Raw genomic sequence first — 18,127 nt, 5'->3', positions numbered from 1 at the left:
AGTGCCGCTCCGACCTGCTCACTAAGGGACTGAAAGGTGAGCCCAGAGCAGGCTGCCATATTGCTTGGGCTTCTGCAAGGCTGTATTTAATGATATAGCCTCTTCTCAGGCAGAACTATTTTATAGACAGCCACATAGAGCTGCAGATGTCCCACTCAGCCATTTAGGTTTGGGGAGGTAGCTGGATCGGCAATATTCCAAATCTACCTGTTGATGCTGTTCTTTCTTCCTAAGATCATAATGTTTTCTTTTACATTTCTACTTAACCATATAAATGACATTATATACCTCTCCTTATAAATCTATATTTCCAGTACTGTATTTTTTAGTAGTTTCTGCTTGTCACTGCTGGCTTTTCAAAGATACTCACCCCAAGTTCCCATACTGAACATAGACTCTTGTCCCAATTATACAATGTTCTCCACATGCTGTTAGGAATGCAGACAAGCCGAAACCCAGGCTACAACACTGAGAAATTACATCTTGGCATTTGTATCTCATTTTTAAAAGCATATTATTAATTTTAATAACAAAAGAAGGTGGATAGATGGTTTGTACTTACCAGAAGTCTTCATGTGATAGTGCTTCTACAGAAAGAAATTTTTTTGAAAAGTTAAGGATATTAGTACTGTCAATTTTTTAGTTTTTCATTTTGACAGTAAAGGTTAGTTACTACTGCATTAAATCCCTGTAACTAAGGTTAAATTTTATTTTGATTGTGTTAATGTTTTCTTTAAGCTAATTAATTTTGTCATCAAATGGTGATTTCCAAACTTATTTAAGTAGAACTTAGATGACATCTTATATAAAAATTGAGCATGCACAAAACATAAGAGCAGTGCTACTCAGGTTGGTTTAGGGCTTGAGCCAGAGCTTCTACACACACACTTTTCCTCCTAAGCACCTCACCTCATCTTCCCACCCTTCTCCATTTCCTTTCTACCCTTACCTATCTAAACCCCACTTCTATACCATCCCCAGCAGTGGCCTCTGCAGATCACCTAGTTCTCAGTGCACTATGGTTTAAAAACGTCTCCCTTGGGACCTGTTTCCAATAAATATTGGGTCTCTTAGGATGGTTTATGTTTTGTAACAACAAATTAGGAAAAAAGTATATTCTATAGGGTACAAAGAACAGCAGCCCTATTCCTTACTGAATCTGTGCTTCTTTGAATGTCAAGCATACTGAAAGAGTTTTCAAACAAAACCCTTTTTACAATAACCATATCTGATTTTGAAACACTTGATGATACACATCTTTAGCCAAAATTTCCAGCTATTTAAGATGATACCTATCTTTAGCCATAAATGATACCATAAAGATGATGCCCATCTTTAGGCAAGATTTCCAGCTATTTAAATTGGATATCCTAGAAATACCCTCAAAAACAATCTTCCCATTTCTCTTGGAGAGATTTTTCCAAAATGTGTATTCAGCCATGCCATTGCCCTAACTAAAAACCTTCAGTATCTTACTATTGTATTTGGAATAAAATTTGAGCTCCTCCATAAAATGGCTCATCTACCACTTTAGCTTCATCCCTCACACTCTTTGCCTCTTATTTTATGGAACAAGAAACCACTTAGAGTTCCCTTTTCACACGCTGACATTTCTCACTCCCATGGCTTTGTTTTGGTGTTGCCTCTGCCTATAATGCCCTTCTCCACCCACTTTTCCCCGTTTGCTGGTTAACTATAACCCATTATTTAACATCCATCTGATTTGGGAAGTCTTCCCTGACTGTCTCTCCCTCTCCCCTCCTATGCCTGAGATGGGTGCCCTTTATCTCATGCATACCATACTGATAATTGCCCAGTGTTTCTCTGTCTCCACTACTGGACGTGAATGTGCGCTCCCTAAGGGCAGAGGCATTCATGATTCCTCTTTGTATCCTCAGTGCCTGGCATAGAGTAAGCAACTAATTCATTTCTGTTGACTGGCTAAATGAATGAATAGGAAGGAAAAAAGTTGGCTTTTAGATACGTAAAATAGGCTGAAATGTTCTCAACATAATTTTGACTTAGCATAATGTCTGTATGTCAATATATCTACTCTCATGTGCCTGTTTGCTTTTTACCATGTATACTATAAATACTGTGTTCTATTCCTGTTAAAGATGTTTTCTGCATTTGGTTTTTAGGTTAAAGCCATTCACATCCATTCTGACATGTTCTCAGTTCAAAATGGCTTGCTGACACCAACACTAAAAGCTAAGAGACCTGAGCTGAGAGAGTACTTCAAAAAACAAATAGAAGAGCTTTACTCAATCTCCATGTGAAGTTCAAGGAAAGTTCTTCTCAGTGTAATGAACTGTCTAGCAATATTATAGTTATTCTTGAAAGTAATGAGTCAAAATGACACAGCTGAAAATGAATAAGCATCTGATTTTATGACTGAGCCTTTTCCTGTCCCAAGAGGTCTTTAACAATATTTTCTCTATCATCAATGAGTATATTTTATTTTTATTATAAAAATGATATTGTGGTGGACTGCTAAAAATATCACAAATGGCAATGTAAAAATCAAGACATTTTCTCAAGAACTGTGTACCACTAAAAGTAATATATTGTCAATGTTCACAGAACTATTAAACATAAAGGAAAAACATAAGTGATATATTCTACTTAATTATTTGTGAATCAGTAACCAGATGCAGCAAATATCTAGGCAATGTGGACTACCTCATTCAGTAACTGATTGTCAAAATCACAATTAAATCAGACTTCAAAAATTAAAGCTAGGTGTATAGAATCATGCTAAAAGAAAACATGATAACTCATAGTCTACGTAACTTCAGAGTCTTTAAACATGACAATCCACATTGTCATATGTGAAAATTTTCTCTCTGATTTTTACTTTCATTCATGAAAAATGAAAATTCAGAAATTCTTTTTTTCCTTTTTGTTTTGAGACAGGGTCTGCTCTGTCACCTAGGCTGGAGTGCAGTGGCTTAATCATGGCTCATTGCAGTCTCCATCTCCTGGGCTCGAGTGATCCTCCTGTCTCACCTCCCAAGTAGCTGAGACTACAGTACAGGCACATGCCACCACACCTGGCTAATAGAAATTTTTTTTTTAGAGATTTTGCTCAGGCTGGTCTCAAACTCCTGAGCTCAAGGGATCCTCCCGCCTTGGCCTCCCTAAGTGCTAGGATTACAGGCATGAGCCATTGTTCCCAGCCAAATTCAGATATTATTAAAACACATGTCATATTTATATAGTAACTTACAAAGACCTTTCAATACATTTTCTCATTTATTAAGCTCATTAAAGTATTCAGGAACTACCTAGAAAAAATATAATGTAAAACTATTCAAGGATAGTGTGTGTATGTTCATGGACTTCTTATTATAATGAATTCTAAAAGACATCTGTTGACTCTACAATGAATGGATCCTTGAGGAATACTTGGGAGAAGAAACTCAGAGTTATTTCTCAGGGTAGGCAGCAATTAATGTACCTACATTCCTTGCTGGGGTCTTCTAGTCTTCCATTCCCAATGTGCCCATGCTATGCCTGGAAACCCTATATGGTTGTAATTCTGAACAATTTCACTTTTTTTCCAGTAAGAATATCAAGGCAGAAGGTGGGAAGGAGGGGACATTATTTCCAGGGAAAATAGTTTTTCAACAATATAACTTTGATAAACCTCTTTAAAATGCCCCAAGAAAACTTTTTAAGTCCATAGACAAAGAAATACTGCCTAATGGCATAATTACATTCCTAAAATCTTTAAGCGTGCCGAAGTTTAACCACTAAAACCTCCTTTCTTGCATTATGTATTTAGATGCACCCTGTATTGGGGTGTCAACAATTTCTTATAATTAAAGGCCAGATACCATGGACAGCAATTAAGTTCCAAGCTATAGATTGTGCCTCTGAAAAAGGCATGGACCCCAGGAACGTGTTTTTCTTCTGTAGAGACAAGACTCTAAAAGCATATCAACAATCCATATGCAATTCATGTGTTAATTTAAAATGTATGTGCTCAGTGTTTGTAGTCTAGAAGCTCCTTTCCCTTGGAGGAATGCCAAGCAGTTTGCAAAAATAAATGCTGTTAGTTAAAAACCACATAATCACATGGGCCTACTGAATAAATATGCATCAGTGATTATATACTTATATTTCAGTCTTGTCAAAAGTGAATCACTGTTTCATTTGATGTATTTACCCAGTCTTTTTATCCAGTTTTTCTTGGGCATATTCTCTCTGAAGACCCACTGTTGCACTTCTAAATTTGACAGTTAAGAAATGAGCTAGTTCTATACACACTGATTTTTAAAGGCGTTTCTGAATAAACTAATACTTAAAATGTCCAAAGTCACATCTGTACAGCATTAGATTTTTATATTTAATATATATTTGACTAATTAAAAGTGAAAGTTGTTACCTGAACTGGATATTCATACTATTTTAAGGGCAAGTTGCTTACATTTCAATAACAACAAAAAAAGAATCTGTTTCCCATTGTCCTCCTACTCAACTAAAATTCATAGTTGGCTTTAAGCCCAAAAGAATTTTGAACAATGTGACAGAAACAAGTAATGTAAAACTTATTTTGTTTTATTTATACTTTATAATAGTTAGATATAACAGATTATGGACAACTTAATATTTCTTCTTTTTGGCTGGGCGCGGTGGCTCATGCCTGTAATCCCAGCACTTTGGGAGGCCGAGGCGGGCAGATCACGAAGTCAGGAGATCGAGACCATCCTGGCTAACACAGTGAAACCCCGTCTCTACTAAAAAAATACAAAAAATTAGCCGGGCGTTGTGGCGGGCGCCTGTAGTCCCAGCTACTCGGGAGGCTGAGGCAGGAGAATGGCATGAACCTGGGAGGCGGAGCTTGCAGTGAGCCGAGATCCCGCCACTGTACTCCAGCCTGGGCAACAGAACGAGACTCCGTCTCAAAAAGAAAGAAAAAAAAAAAACAAAAACAAGGTTTCTTCTTTTTGCCACTTAAAATATCTTATATTTCTAGATTTCCAGGTCTATGTGGAAATCATCACACTTGGGCCAATAAATGGGTTAGTTCAGATGTGCTGAGAAAAGTAAATAGTGTACCCTAAATATCTTGCATGTACATTTATCTATTTCTCTGTTTAATGCCACTTAATTTTGTAAGAAATGAGAAATGAAACCCTATGTATCAGTGGAAAAATCCTTCTTGCTTCAGATTTCCCAACTTTATTCTGGAGGAGAAAAAAATCTGTATTTCTCATTAACAGAGATAGAAAAAGGTGATGTACTTACGATGGTCACATTCATATTGGGCATTGGATCTATTTAAGCCTAGAAGTATAACAGATAATCAGTTCCTTAAGTGTAAATATGTTCTTAAATGTTTGGCCTTTTTATCTGTTATTCAAATGTATTAGTAATTCTCATATTTTGCAAACAGATCCTTTTGTGTATATTATAAAATATATACCAAATCTGTTTTTCCTTTTGCTGTGGAAGATGTCTTTATATAATATTGAGACTTCCCTTGCAAATGAGAGACGGGACTCTGGTCAGGTATAGTGTGTAGGCCTAGCCCCATGTATTAGGAACTCATAAACTCAGAAATCCAAGGATTAAACATTTTATGTCTCCTTCATTTATGCAAGTCATGCTTTCATTCTACATGTAGTTAAAACTACAAGTATGAGAAAAAATAGAACTTTCCATTGGAATTTTTTCCAATCAGGTAATGTTTTAGCAACTTGAAATCAGCACTTAATTTGATTGTATTACCTATCAAAGAACCAATAACCTTTCCTTTTTCTGCAGTAAAGAAAATGAAATATCCTTTATTTTCCAAATGTATGAAGCACAAATGCAATATAGTTATTTAAAATATAAAATACTTTAAAATGAATGTGAAGAATGGGAAAATATATTTTTGCATGAAAACAGACTACTTACAAATGTGCTTAATATCTCAGGAAAAAAAGAATGAATAACCGTATATAAAATTGGTAAACTATAAATTGGCTGTATTTCCTTGCCGGTTTTAATTTTAAGGAAGCATTTACATGAAAAGAAAAAAGGATCCTAGTAGTCTGAATTTCCTCTCAAGTATGCTAGAAAATACTTTCTATGAATTTACAATTAACTGCAATAAGAAGTGGGTTAGCATTCAAGTAAGGTCAATACCCCAAATGAGAAACTCTTCAGTTAGAACACATTAGTGGTTGTAACACAGAGGCAGTAGATAAATATTTGAAATGTGAGCATTTCTAAACTTGGTACCAAATGGAAAGGGTTTCATGAGGTGACAGTGGCTTTTAAACATTCATTTGACCGATTATTCTAATTTTCCTTGTTAAATCATTGCAACAGTTGCATGGGGGAGAATGGATATTTTTTGAAGAATTGCTTATTCCACTTTCAATTTTTAAAAATCGAGGGGATTAAAATATTACTTTTTAAATATGCATAAAAGTATCTTAACTGTAATTACATTTTCAGTTGCTTTGTTATAGTAGCATGCATATTAAATATAAAATGCATTTATGAAAATTTTTGTAAAAAATAAAAGATTTTTCATTTCTCAAAGTTGCTTATAATTACTATTTTATATATTTGCATAATATAATACCCTCATGTGAGTATATTTGGTAATTATCAATCACAGTTACTGCTTATGATAAACATAGTACCAAGCTGCATTACCAATCAGTATACTTTACATCCGTACTCTACGTCCTCTGTTAAAGTTCCACAAACTCCAAGAAATTATGGTCCATCCAGAGAAGAGCTCCTTTGCTCAAGCCTCTGTTGGAATTTTTGCTATTGTCAGATATCTCCTGGATTTAAATCATTTTTATGAATACATAACAAATAACTGTCTTCAAATTTTCCATGATGGTGGCCTTTAAAATATAATTTCCATGTCTTTTACTCATATTCAGAATAATGGATACAATTTCTTAAAATAATGAATTCTGCTGTGTCCAAGATAGACAGATTCTGCCTTCTCCATATGTTTGCTATCATCCATTCCTCCCTATTGTTACAGCTATTAGTGTAGTTTGTGCCACCCTTATCTCTTGTCTGGAATATTACAGTGCTTTCTTAACTAGCCTTCATGTTTCCATTCCAGCATCCTCAAATTTCGCCATCCACATTTCAGCCAGGGCAATCTTTCTAAATTGAAAATCTAGATTGAAAATGCCACTTTCCTGCTTAATAGTCCTTCAGTGACTTCCCATAGTTTCCAGGATAAACTTCAAACTCGCTGGTTCAGCACACAGGGACTAGCATCTCTTCTACTCCCTCCTCTATGGAGCCTCGGCTCCAATCATATTCATTACTTTTGTAGTTCCCTAAAAGCATCATACTTTCTTGTGCCTACCTGCCTTTACACATATAGTCCCTTTCTCCTAGAATGCCCTTTCCTCTAATTCCCCTAACTCCAACCATTCATCTTTTAAAACTCAGATTCCAGCATCCTTTTCTCTGAGAAGCTTCCCACGTGGTTGATTGGTTGATGGTCCTTTTGCCCCACCCCCACGTAGACTGAGTTGCTTGAAGTTTTATGCCCAGTGCGGCTCTGGCTGATAGCAGATGCTAAAGAAATGTTAAGGAAAATCCCCTTGGTCCTTTTTCTTGTGTTGCATAGCATTAAGACTGCAATACCTGAAGGTATATTTCCTCTCTCACTGTAATTTATTCCATTCTTGTCATCCAAGCAAAAATAAACTGGTTTGTGGTTGGATTCCCATAGTTCACGGATAGCACCACAAAGATGCTCAGTGGGTTACTCCATAAGAAAACATCATTCAAAAGGATTTACTTTGGGCTCCAGTGAATCTCAAACCCACAAACTGGCTGTTTTCCCAAAAGATTTATTCAGAAATCTCTTTGACATTTGTTTTCCCATGGAAGTTAATATCTTCATGACTGTTCCAAGCCTAGTCAAATCCACCATGTGTTGAAATGAAATGCTGATTACTGAGTTTTGGGTCTAGGTATGGAAGCAGTGCAATGGGGAAATGGAAGAAGTTTGAACACTCATGATTAAACACTTGCACTGGTGTTTGCAGATTTGGAAGTGGAGTAGGGGGAGATAGATGACTGAATTTGAGATATCTCTGCCCTGTCTCATCCTTTTTAGGAGACACGTTTCTTTCCCCCTTTATAGGTTGACTCTAGGTGAAGTATCAAAGAGACCAAGTCTGTCTCTAGTTCCTTCACTTCCCCTTGCCACCAAGGAATTCAAGCTCCTCTCTTTGCTCCCCCTACTTTTCTCCCAGCCATGTGTTAGGAAGAATGGGAGTATGACAAGCGCAGCAGCCAGATGCCAGGAGAACCATGTTCCCTATGCCAATCATCTGTTTTAAATAGCTTCCCTACACTCTGGTTTCCTCAGTGGCAAAATGAGGGGGCATCTAGATCATCTCTAAGGACCCTTTTGGCTAAAGAAATCATATCAAAGTTTATTTCTGGTTTTGAAACCTGATACGTTAATTCCCACAAACCTATGGGAATTACTTGATGACATATCAGTGAATGTAATTCAGTATAGTGAGACAGAGTTCTAGGGAACAGGACCACCAAATGGCAGACCAGCTTTTGGTTTAACCTATTTTCATTTTGCAATGTTTCTTCCATTTCTGGGCCTAAGGCACCCCAGGCTCTAGACCTCCCAAATGTCATTTAAGAAGTCTGAATTTTTTTCACAACAGCCCCCAAAGGGAGAGGGGGGAGCATAAAGGCCTGGCTTGTAAACTAGAGACTGCCTGCCAGCATATTATGGACACGACTAAAGAAAGAATGTTGAAAGATGATAATTGCTTTATACTGCAGCAAGGCTGTGAGATCTTTAACTGAAGGACCATTTCTGATTCACTTCTGTATCCCCAGGACCTACCACAGTGCTTAATACAGATTAAGGTGTTCAGTAAATATTGATTCAATGACTCAAAACCCGAGGTAAAACCAGGTAAGAATGCCTACCATCTGTTCTTTAGAAAGCTAGATTTTGATGATTAATTATCTAGTAAATTGATTATCATAAATGTTTCTGTGAGCAGATTTTAAATAAAATATTCAGTGATTATATTACAAAAATACTGTGGATATATATGTGCTTATATTCGCACATACAAGACTGAGGTGTTACAGAAAAACCTTTAAGCTTTTCATAGTTTTATCTCTTCAAACTGCATTTTAAATGTTATGAAATATTTCCACTTTTTAGAATAAAAAGATGGTTATTGTTATGTGCATAATATGCTCATCTGATGTCGCCAGATGGTTCAACCTAGGGTATGGAGAGAAAGGGAGGTAATTCCAACATATCTCTAATTGACAGAGCAGAAGAGTTTGCTACCGAGCAGTCAATGGGCTCACTGCCTGATGAATGCAGAGGCTAATACCATGGCACTGGCTTTTGGGAAAAGAAAAGCTTTATTGCAAGTGGGCTGGCAAGGAGACAGGAGGAAATGCTCAAATCTGTCTTCCTAAGCTGGGGTTTGGTTTGGTTTTTATAAGCATAGGGTAAAGAGATGTGATCTGATTGGATCTTGTAATGAGGTGATGCTGGGAGGCATGATCTGACTGGATCCTGCTATGGGATGAAGCCAGAGCTCAACCCGGTTGGATCCTGCCATGCCATATCTACTTCTTAATTCAGTCCCTCCTCCTTGATCTGAGCACTTGGTTTCCCCTGTGGCTGCATGCTTGGTTCATCTAGGCATGCTCAGGTTACATGACCTCAGGGTTCATGGCAACTGAAAAACAACTCACAATTTTGTTACATAAAAGTTGAACCAAGGCTGGGCAAGGTGGCTCACACCTGTAGTCCCAAGAATTTAGGAGGCCAAGGCAGGAAGATCACGTGAGGCCAAGAGTTCAAGACCAGCTGGGATAACATAGCAAGACCCCGTCTCTATAAAAAAATTTACAAATCAGCTGGGCATGGTGGCATGTGCCTGTAGTCTTAGCTACTCGGGAGACAGAGGTGGGAGGATCACTTGAGCCCAGAGTTTGAGGCTGCAGTGAGCTATGATTGTACCACTCCACTCCAGCCAGGGTGACAAGCCAGACCCTGTCTTAAAAAAAAAAAAAAAAAAAAAAGAGGAGAAGGGGAAGGGGAAGGGGAAGAAAGAAGAAAGAAGAAAGGAGAAAAGAAGAAGAAGAAGAAGAAACAGATCGGTCTGGTGCAGCAACAAGTTGAGGCCCAGGGCACAAGGAGGAGAGCCCCTATGGAATCTTCTACCTTAACCACAAGGATGCCCAGATGTCTAGAGATGGCTCCTGGACACAGGCTAAGGGACTGTTTGTCGTCCAGAAGCAGCCTCCTAGAGCCCGGGATCTTCAGAGGCTTGGTTAGCCTCTTAATTACCATAGCTTCCCAGTCAGTTGCAGGCCCAGGGGACTGAAGTTGATTCCTCAGGGAGAAGCTCCTTGTCACTTTAAGGTGCATTCAGTCCTCTTTGTGACCTTCCTGCACTGAGGCCAACCCCTCACAAGACTGCCTGTGCTGGTGGCCTAAAACTCCATTACTAAGGCCTTATGCAGTGCTGATAGGGAGAGCTTGCTCAGAGGAAGTGTTGGGCCCACCCAAAGGAGGGAACGCCTTTACTCCTGCATGCCCAGTTGAATTAAGCATGCAGCCACAGGCGAAACCTAAGTGCTCAGACGGAGGAGGAGGGGCTGAATTAAACCTTTTTCTGGACGAGGAAAAAGTTTTTTCCAAAAAACTCTCGTTTCGCTGGAGTTGAAGGAACCTGCGCCAGAAGGCCAGAAACCACTGGGCCCCTATAGGAAGGCTGGGCGGCTGCCGCGCTCCTCCGTTTTCCCAGAAGCCTCTGCGCGGCCTCACAGAGATAAAAGCGCGGGAGCGAGGCCCGGCGGCTCCAGTTCTGGGGCTTTTGCTTTCGCTCGATTAGTTGCTGTGAGGCTGCTCCGCGGGCCTCGCCTGGACGCTGACTCCCTGTGACTTAGCCCTGATCCTCAGGAAGGCAGGCCATCGAGAGTCCAGAGGCACCCGTGGCCTGGGGGTAGGGTGGGATAGCAATGTGGCCGCTACGGGTCTATACCCGCAAAAAGCGGGAGGGTCAGAGGCTCAATCTCACCCCGACGCCAGACCTAGGCTCTCCAGCGAAGGCCGAGGCCCCGCCAGGTACAGGCTCAAGGCTCGCCCACCGTAAGCTCAGCCGAGCTGCCTCCGGGACGGGACCGAGGGCGGGCGGGGGTGCTAGGCCTCGGGCCCAGGACCCCCCCGAAGCCGGTGGGTAGGTTTCTTGCCCTGAAACGTGCCGCCCTCTCTCAGGTTCGAAGAGAAAAGGCAAAGTGCACGGCTTGTCGAAGATTGCAGAGAAAGCAGAGCGGAGCAGGCAGGGAGGTAGCGGCTCTGGGCCGTTCAGGTATGTAGCCTCCAGTAACAGCCCGATCCTAGCTTGCCACCTCAGAAAACTTCAAGCCGAATTTTCTGCTAGTAGCCTTTTATTCTAACAGTCAAGGAGCAAAACAAATACAGTACTCTGATTTTGCTCTTCTCAGAACATGGACCCCAAAATTTGACTTCAGGAAGATTTATTTTTAAAAAGGGGAAGGCTTGCCAATTTACGTAAAAGGAAGTGAGATAAATTGGTCGGTGAGCTATACGATTGTGTCACTGCATTTGGGTTTTGGTGCAAGTCACCACTCTGGTCCTTACTTCTTCCTAAAGATGTCCCTAAAGAGCCTTTCAGATTCTAAAGAGTCTGAACAGAGACGTGGAGAGCCAAATCCAGATGGTGCAAACTAATTGCGTTGTCTCTTTGTTAGCCCTCGCTTAGGAGTTACAGGAGAGAAAAGCCTGCAAGAAAATAGGTCTAGTGAAGACACCCAGGATGAGAAGATTGCATCGTTGCGTGTATGTATGCTTCTCTTTTAGTCCTTGGACACACTTAGTGTAGAGACTATCAGTACCTGATGTACCTCCGGATGAAAGAATAAAATGGGCTTTGTTCTGTAGATGTTACATAGCTCACCAGTATTTTTATAAACACTTACGTGTCTTTAGACAGGGCCTTGAATTTCTGACTTGGGTAGATTCATAGTCATGCATTTTTGTTTTTCTCTTTCTCTTGACACGTTTTTGGAGAAACGTCCATAATTGGTGAATTTTCTGTATGACAAATACAAAATGTTACTTAATAACTCCTTTTTTCATGTTTTCCATTTGATTTTCCATTAACAACTGGAAACATTCATTACTAAGGGTTTAATATGTTACAGAGCATTCTAATGTTTATTCATTAGAATATTTTATAACTTCTTGATGTGCTGTATTTAATATGAATTCTGTACTATATTTTAAAGTTGTACAGCACTAATTTAGGGAAGCTCAGATTTTAAAAATTGCTTGTGACTCATCTGACATTAACATTAAACTTCATAGTCAAGTTCCTTTTTTTTTTTTTTTTGGAGACAGAGTCTTGCTCTGTCACCCAGGCTGGAGTGCAGTGGCACAGTCCTGGCTCACTGACTGCAGCTTCTGCCTCTCGGGTTCAAGCGATTCTCCTGCCCCAACCTCCTGAGTAGATGTGATTACAGGTGTATACCACCACCCAGCTAATTTTTGTATAGAGGGGGTTTCTCCAGGTTGGCCAGGCTGGTCTCGAACTCCTGACCTCAAGTGATCTGCTCGCCACGGCCTCCCATAGTGCTGAGATTACAGGCTTGAGCCATCACACCTGGCCAAGTTCTATTTTTTTTTAACTTAATATTCCTTTATAACATGTTTTTGGGGGAAGGCAGTTTCAACACAAGACATTTTTTTAAAAGGCTTTTATCCATAGTTTAACAGTGTAAAGTAGTCCTTGTAGAGTATTTATACTATGAAAAAATAGTGTTTTGAAAGTTTCTTAAAATTTTTATATATTTCTGTTCCTTTTCTCCTGTGCTTTAAAAAAAATGACCAGTTGTCTTATTGTATATTCCCATACATTAAATAGTCTTCAAAAATATGACTTTCAGTGTCTTCATAGTGCTTTGTCTTGTAGATAGATACACTGTAATTTGTATTACTATTTCCCTGTGGTTGGGAAATTGAGATTGTTTCCAAGGTTTTGCTGTTATTGATATCCATAGACATTCTGTTACAGAAGGTTTTTGTGTACCTCACATTGTTACCCTAAGATAAATACTTTGCAGTGGATCACAGGTTGGATCATGTTTCAAGTTTTTTTATTCATGTTGATAAATCAGCACCATCTTACCTGAAACTTTTATATATATGTGTGTGTATATATATGAAATAGATAGATAGATAGATGAAAAGTAGCATGTTTTTTACTTTTCATTTCTTTGAATGCTGGGGAAGTCGATATTTTTTTTCTCAAATTATTGGCCATTTGTACTGTTTTGTGAAATGTCTATTAAATATTAAAGATAGCTATACTTTTGTACATACATATATAACCAATATTTCCATATTTGTTTACTTGCCTTTAATTTTATTTCTAGTATTTTAGACTTACTAGTCTTTTCTTTTGATTTATATATTTGCCTCTATAGATGGAAAAAAAGCCCCTCCCCACTAGGGAACCAGAAAAATATTCACCTCTATCTTCTATTTGCTGTCATCCCACAGTAGTTACTTGACTAGCATATTGTTGATTACAAGATATGTTCATAGTATTATATTTTAATATTTATTTTTAGGTTTAATATTAAATATCAGATTACATCTGAACAATAAACTGAATGAATGTATTATATATATGAAACATATAAAAAGTTGATGTTTTCATTTTTCTAAAATAAATCTGTACAAGATTATAATATAGAAATGGTCAATCTCATAATTTTGCTATAGCTTTAATTCTTATTTCACTTAGGAATCAGTTACTGATGACCTCCAGGTTGATAGTAGTTCATCAAATAGTGAACTAGTATCAGGTAAGACTGTCAAATGTGAACTCCCTCAGCTTTCTGTTTTTCCTCCAAACATAAGCATCCATCTGTATCTCTCCCCATCTTCCTATCTCAGTGGAAGAGGTATCTTTTCCCTACTCCAAAGTGAATCCTTCTGACTGTGCTATAGATCTCATCCTTAAAGCCTTTAAGCACATGCCAGTAAATGTGAAATTACTTGTGATAAGTACTGTAAAAGAGATTGACTTGAGTGTGATTGAGTTTACCTAGAGAAATTAGGGAAGACTTCCATGAGGGAATGGTAATTGAATTAAGATCTGAAGGAGAGTAGAAATTAACTATGCAGAGATGAGTAAAGAGAAATTCAGGCAGAGGGAAGCTCTAACATGGGACTGAGCATTATGTATTGAGTAACTGAAGAAGGCCAGTATGACTGCAGTACAGAGAGTAGGAGGATATGTGAGTGTAAGACAGGATTAGACAACCAGTTTGAGGCCCTGCATAGCCTTGTAGTCCATATAAAAAATATTGATGTTTATATTTGGAGCAGCAAAAAGTCATTGAAGTCATTTTAATAGAGAATGATATGATCACTTTAGCTGCAGTGTGGAAGAAGGACTGGAAAGAATCAGGAGTGCAGTTAAGAGGCTGTTCAAGTAGTTTAGGGGAGAAATAATGGCGCCTTCTACTAGGGTGGTGACATTGGAGATGGAAAAAAGGGTGCTGATGTGATGTGATGGCTATTTTAGGTAATGAGACAGGATTTGGCAAATGAAGAGTGAAGGAGATGGAGGTGTCAAAGATGACTACTGTTTCTGGCTTGTGTAACTGGATACAAGGTAGTGTCATTCACTGAAAGAAAAACTGGTTTGAAGAAAAGACTAGAAATTCAGTTTTTAGTATATTAAGTTATGAGTGCATTTAAGATGACTAAGTAGCAATATCAACCAGATAGTTGGATATGAAAGGCTGGAGATAGAAATTTGTGAGCCATCTACATATTGGTATAATCAAAGTTATTTTGAAAACAAGGATGCCACCAGCACATCAGAAATACAGAGGAATTCTTAAAAGCAAATGAGACAAGATTGATGAACATATCAACAGCAGGAAAAAAAACCACTGCAGAGGTAAAAGTAGCCTGGAAATACTCTAAACCCTTGATCAGTAAAGCAAAAGACTGTAATAGAAGAGATCTTGGGCCAGGCACGGTGGCTCACGCCTATAATCCCAGCACTTTGAGAGGCCAAAGCAGGCGGATGACTTGAGGTCAGGAGTTCGAGACCAGCCTGGCCAACATGGTGAAACCCCGTCTCTACTAAAAATACAAAATTTAGCCAGGCGTGGTGGCAGGCGCCTGTAATCCCAGCTACTCGGGAGGCTGAGACAAGAGAATCGCTTGAACCCGGGAGGCGGAGGTTGCAGTGAGCCAAGATTGTGTCATTACACTCCAGCCTGGGGGACAACAGCGAGACTTCGTCACAAAAAAAAAAAAAAAAAAAAAAAAAAAAAAAAAGGAAGAGATCTTGAAGGAATTGTCAAGGCGATGGATTAAGAACTACATTTGAAATATCTGGTCCCTTTTTCATAATCCCCTAATATATTGGAAACTCTGGCAGCTACCAGTGCCTGCTGCCAGGAGAAAACCCTGATAATTACTCACAAGCAAAGTGAACTATCGGGGGGGCTGGCTCTTAAGGGTCAATGTTGGGGCTGAGTTGATAAACAGAGGAGAGTCTGAAGTAACTCCATATTGCTACAAGGATAGCAGAGGAAGAAAAAAGTAAAAGATGTAGTCAATTCTTATGTTTGTTAACTCCATAATAAAGTTAGTATGGCTCTCTGAACCGTGAGACTTCTGATACAGCAGACTTCCAGTGTGGACACTGGCCGGACAGTTAGGGCAGTGCCCCCATGTCACCTACAGTACCTAAAAAATACAGGACATCCCCACCTAGAATACAGGTTCCCAGAATGTCTCATCACTCTTCCAAAATCTCCAGAAGCAAGCCACTATTTCAGAATTTTTACTTACTGCCATATAAACAGATTCTCAGAGACACAAATAAAGCAACCAGGAATATCCAAACTTTTGAAGAAAACCAGTTCCATGGAAAAGAGGCAACAAATGAAACAAACAGAACTAACATTTGAGGAAATGGCACAAAACTAAATATCTGTAGATACCAGAGGCCGCTGAATCCATAATATAGCAGGCTGCTATGAAAAAAAATATAGTCCCTGGGAACTAAAAATATTATTTCAAATTAAAACTTAACCGAGGAGTCTAATATTGGAATTAATTCAACTAAAATTAGTGAGCTAGAAAATAGACTAGAGGAATATTTCCTAGAATGCAGTGCAAAAGAACATGGGAGGTGCTCAGGAAATGCTTTTCTCTCCTTCTTCCTCTCCCTTCTTTGCCTTATTAACTTTTTCAAAAATAAATTCAGCAGCTATTTCTCCTGGGAAGCCTCTTCTGACTTCTCTTTTTCTAGGTGACTTGTTCTACCCTGGTAGTTCTGTGGCACTCTATATACTTCTGTCAAAAGACTTAAAACCACAGTGTAATTGTTTTCGTCTGTCTTTAACTCTTCAAAAAGAGGAAAATGGCTCTAAAACCATTGAGAATTAGCACTATCTTTTATCTTCCTATCTCATGCTTGGAATACAGTTTCAAAGATAATACAGGTTCAAATAATTGTCGAATGTCTCAAATGCTTTTGGATGGGTCTTGTACTCTATTTAGAGAAAATACCATTTAATCATAATCAGCATTTTCTAAAATCATAGTTTAAATATATGAGAAATGTCCTTGATTACTAGGTTTATCAAGTTGACACGTGAAAGGTATAAGGAAATAGAAAATTAGTTGTCTCTAACTTACAAACTGCTTGTATTCTGAGAGTTCATTTGCTGATTGATATTTGAAACCTGAAATACTTTTTCCCATAATAAAATACTGTGATGGGCTAAGTTTTGAGCAGCCCACAGAATTTTAGTTAACATATGATTTATTGTTTTAATTCTACCTTGGAATCTAGTAACTTTATAACACGTTGAAAAATTAATTAAGGATTTTATATTTAATGTGGAAGATTGAATACACATTTACTTCTCTTTTCTGAAACCCTACTAAAATATCAATAAAGGCATAAAAATGTTGTAAAGCTGTAGGTTCAAAAAGAAGAGACCTCAGCTAACAACAGATAATTAATGAAAGTTTGGAATGTGGAAGGTAGATTAATGAATTATAATTGACCTAACAGATCTTAAAAAAAAAAAAAGCTGAAAACTAGGTGTCTAGAGTAGAGACAAACCAAGAAACAAACTGATTCAGGCTAAAGGTTCAGGAATTAGAGGCATTACATATTCCTGGAGGAAATCTTTAAAATAAGATTTTTTGGAATCTTCAAAAGTAACAGTTAGATGCTTTGATCCTTTCCCTAACACACTGTGGCCAGGCAACTATGCTTCTTCCCACCCTGGTAGTCTAAGACATTGAAGCAGAGGGACTGGATTCAAGGATACTGTACTGAAAACTAGCAGTGGCCGGGGAGGAAAGGGAATTAAGTGAAAGTCTGTATATTTTGATGTGAAATCCCCAGACCCCTTATGCACTCAGGCAAATACACTCCAACTAGAAGATTAGAGGATTCCTCTTTTGGAAGTTTCTGTCCCCAGGAGAAGACTGGAATTTGTGCGTTCTGGTAATATGGCCTGGTCCCTGTCTAAATACTCTTCAGTAAAATCCACTTCTTCCTAAGCCCAAGTTATTATGCCATTTTGGTACTTCATTCTCGAACATTCAAGAATTAGCAGACATTTTAAGTAAACATTTAAAATAACAGCTACTAAATAAAAGAAACTTGAAGGACAATGACAATACAAGAAAAATCTTTTAAAAAGCCACAGTTTCATTAATATCCTCAGGATGATGGAAAAATGTTATGTCCATGAAACAAGTGCAGGCTCTTGTAAAAAGTGTTCAGAACAAAAAAATTTGTTAAAAAATAAAAATATGAAATCAGAAAACATTCTGTAGAATTGGATGATAAATTTAAGGAAATATTCCAAAAAGTTGAACAAACATGAAAGAGAAGATAAAGGATAGAAATAGCATCAGTGGTGACACAACTCCATAAGTCTACAAAAAAACCACTGATTGTACACTTTAAAAGGGTGAGTTTTGGCCAGGCACGGTGGCTCACCCCTGTAATCCTAGCACTTTGGGAGGCCGAGGCGGGTGGATTGCCTGAGCCTAGGAGATCGA

General features: G+C 38.4%; 2 protein-coding genes across 26 annotated transcripts in view; both read left to right on the top strand.

The window, feature by feature from the left end:
* The window catches only part of ACSL6 (acyl-CoA synthetase long chain family member 6), a 62,241-nt gene extending 55,701 nt beyond the window's left edge, over positions 1 to 6,540 (top strand). For all 25 annotated transcript variants that reach the window (NR_175945.1, NR_175946.1, NR_175947.1 and 22 more), the window contains one exon: positions 2,142 to 6,540. Coding sequence is in view for 22 of the 25 variants with exons in the window: in NM_001405488.1 (NP_001392417.1) it covers positions 2,142 to 2,279 (138 nt within the window). In the remaining 3 variants the exon portion in view is untranslated. The remainder of the gene's footprint in view (positions 1 to 2,141) is intronic.
* MEIKIN (meiotic kinetochore factor) overlaps positions 10,850 to 18,127 on the top strand; it is a 138,674-nt gene continuing 131,396 nt past the window's right edge. Inside the window, exons 1-4 of the mRNA NM_001303622.2 lie at positions 10,850 to 11,113; positions 11,264 to 11,357; positions 11,761 to 11,848; positions 13,818 to 13,878. Coding sequence (NP_001290551.1) covers positions 11,008 to 11,113; positions 11,264 to 11,357; positions 11,761 to 11,848; positions 13,818 to 13,878 — 349 coding nt within the window. The 5' untranslated portion in view covers positions 10,850 to 11,007. The remainder of the gene's footprint in view (positions 11,114 to 11,263; positions 11,358 to 11,760; positions 11,849 to 13,817; positions 13,879 to 18,127) is intronic.

The sequence above is a fragment of the Homo sapiens genome, chromosome 5 (assembly GCF_000001405.40).
Source record: "Homo sapiens chromosome 5, GRCh38.p14 Primary Assembly".
In the NCBI taxonomy this organism is placed as follows: Eukaryota; Metazoa; Chordata; class Mammalia; order Primates; family Hominidae; genus Homo; species Homo sapiens.
This window is presented reverse-complemented; position numbering and strand designations above follow the sequence as displayed.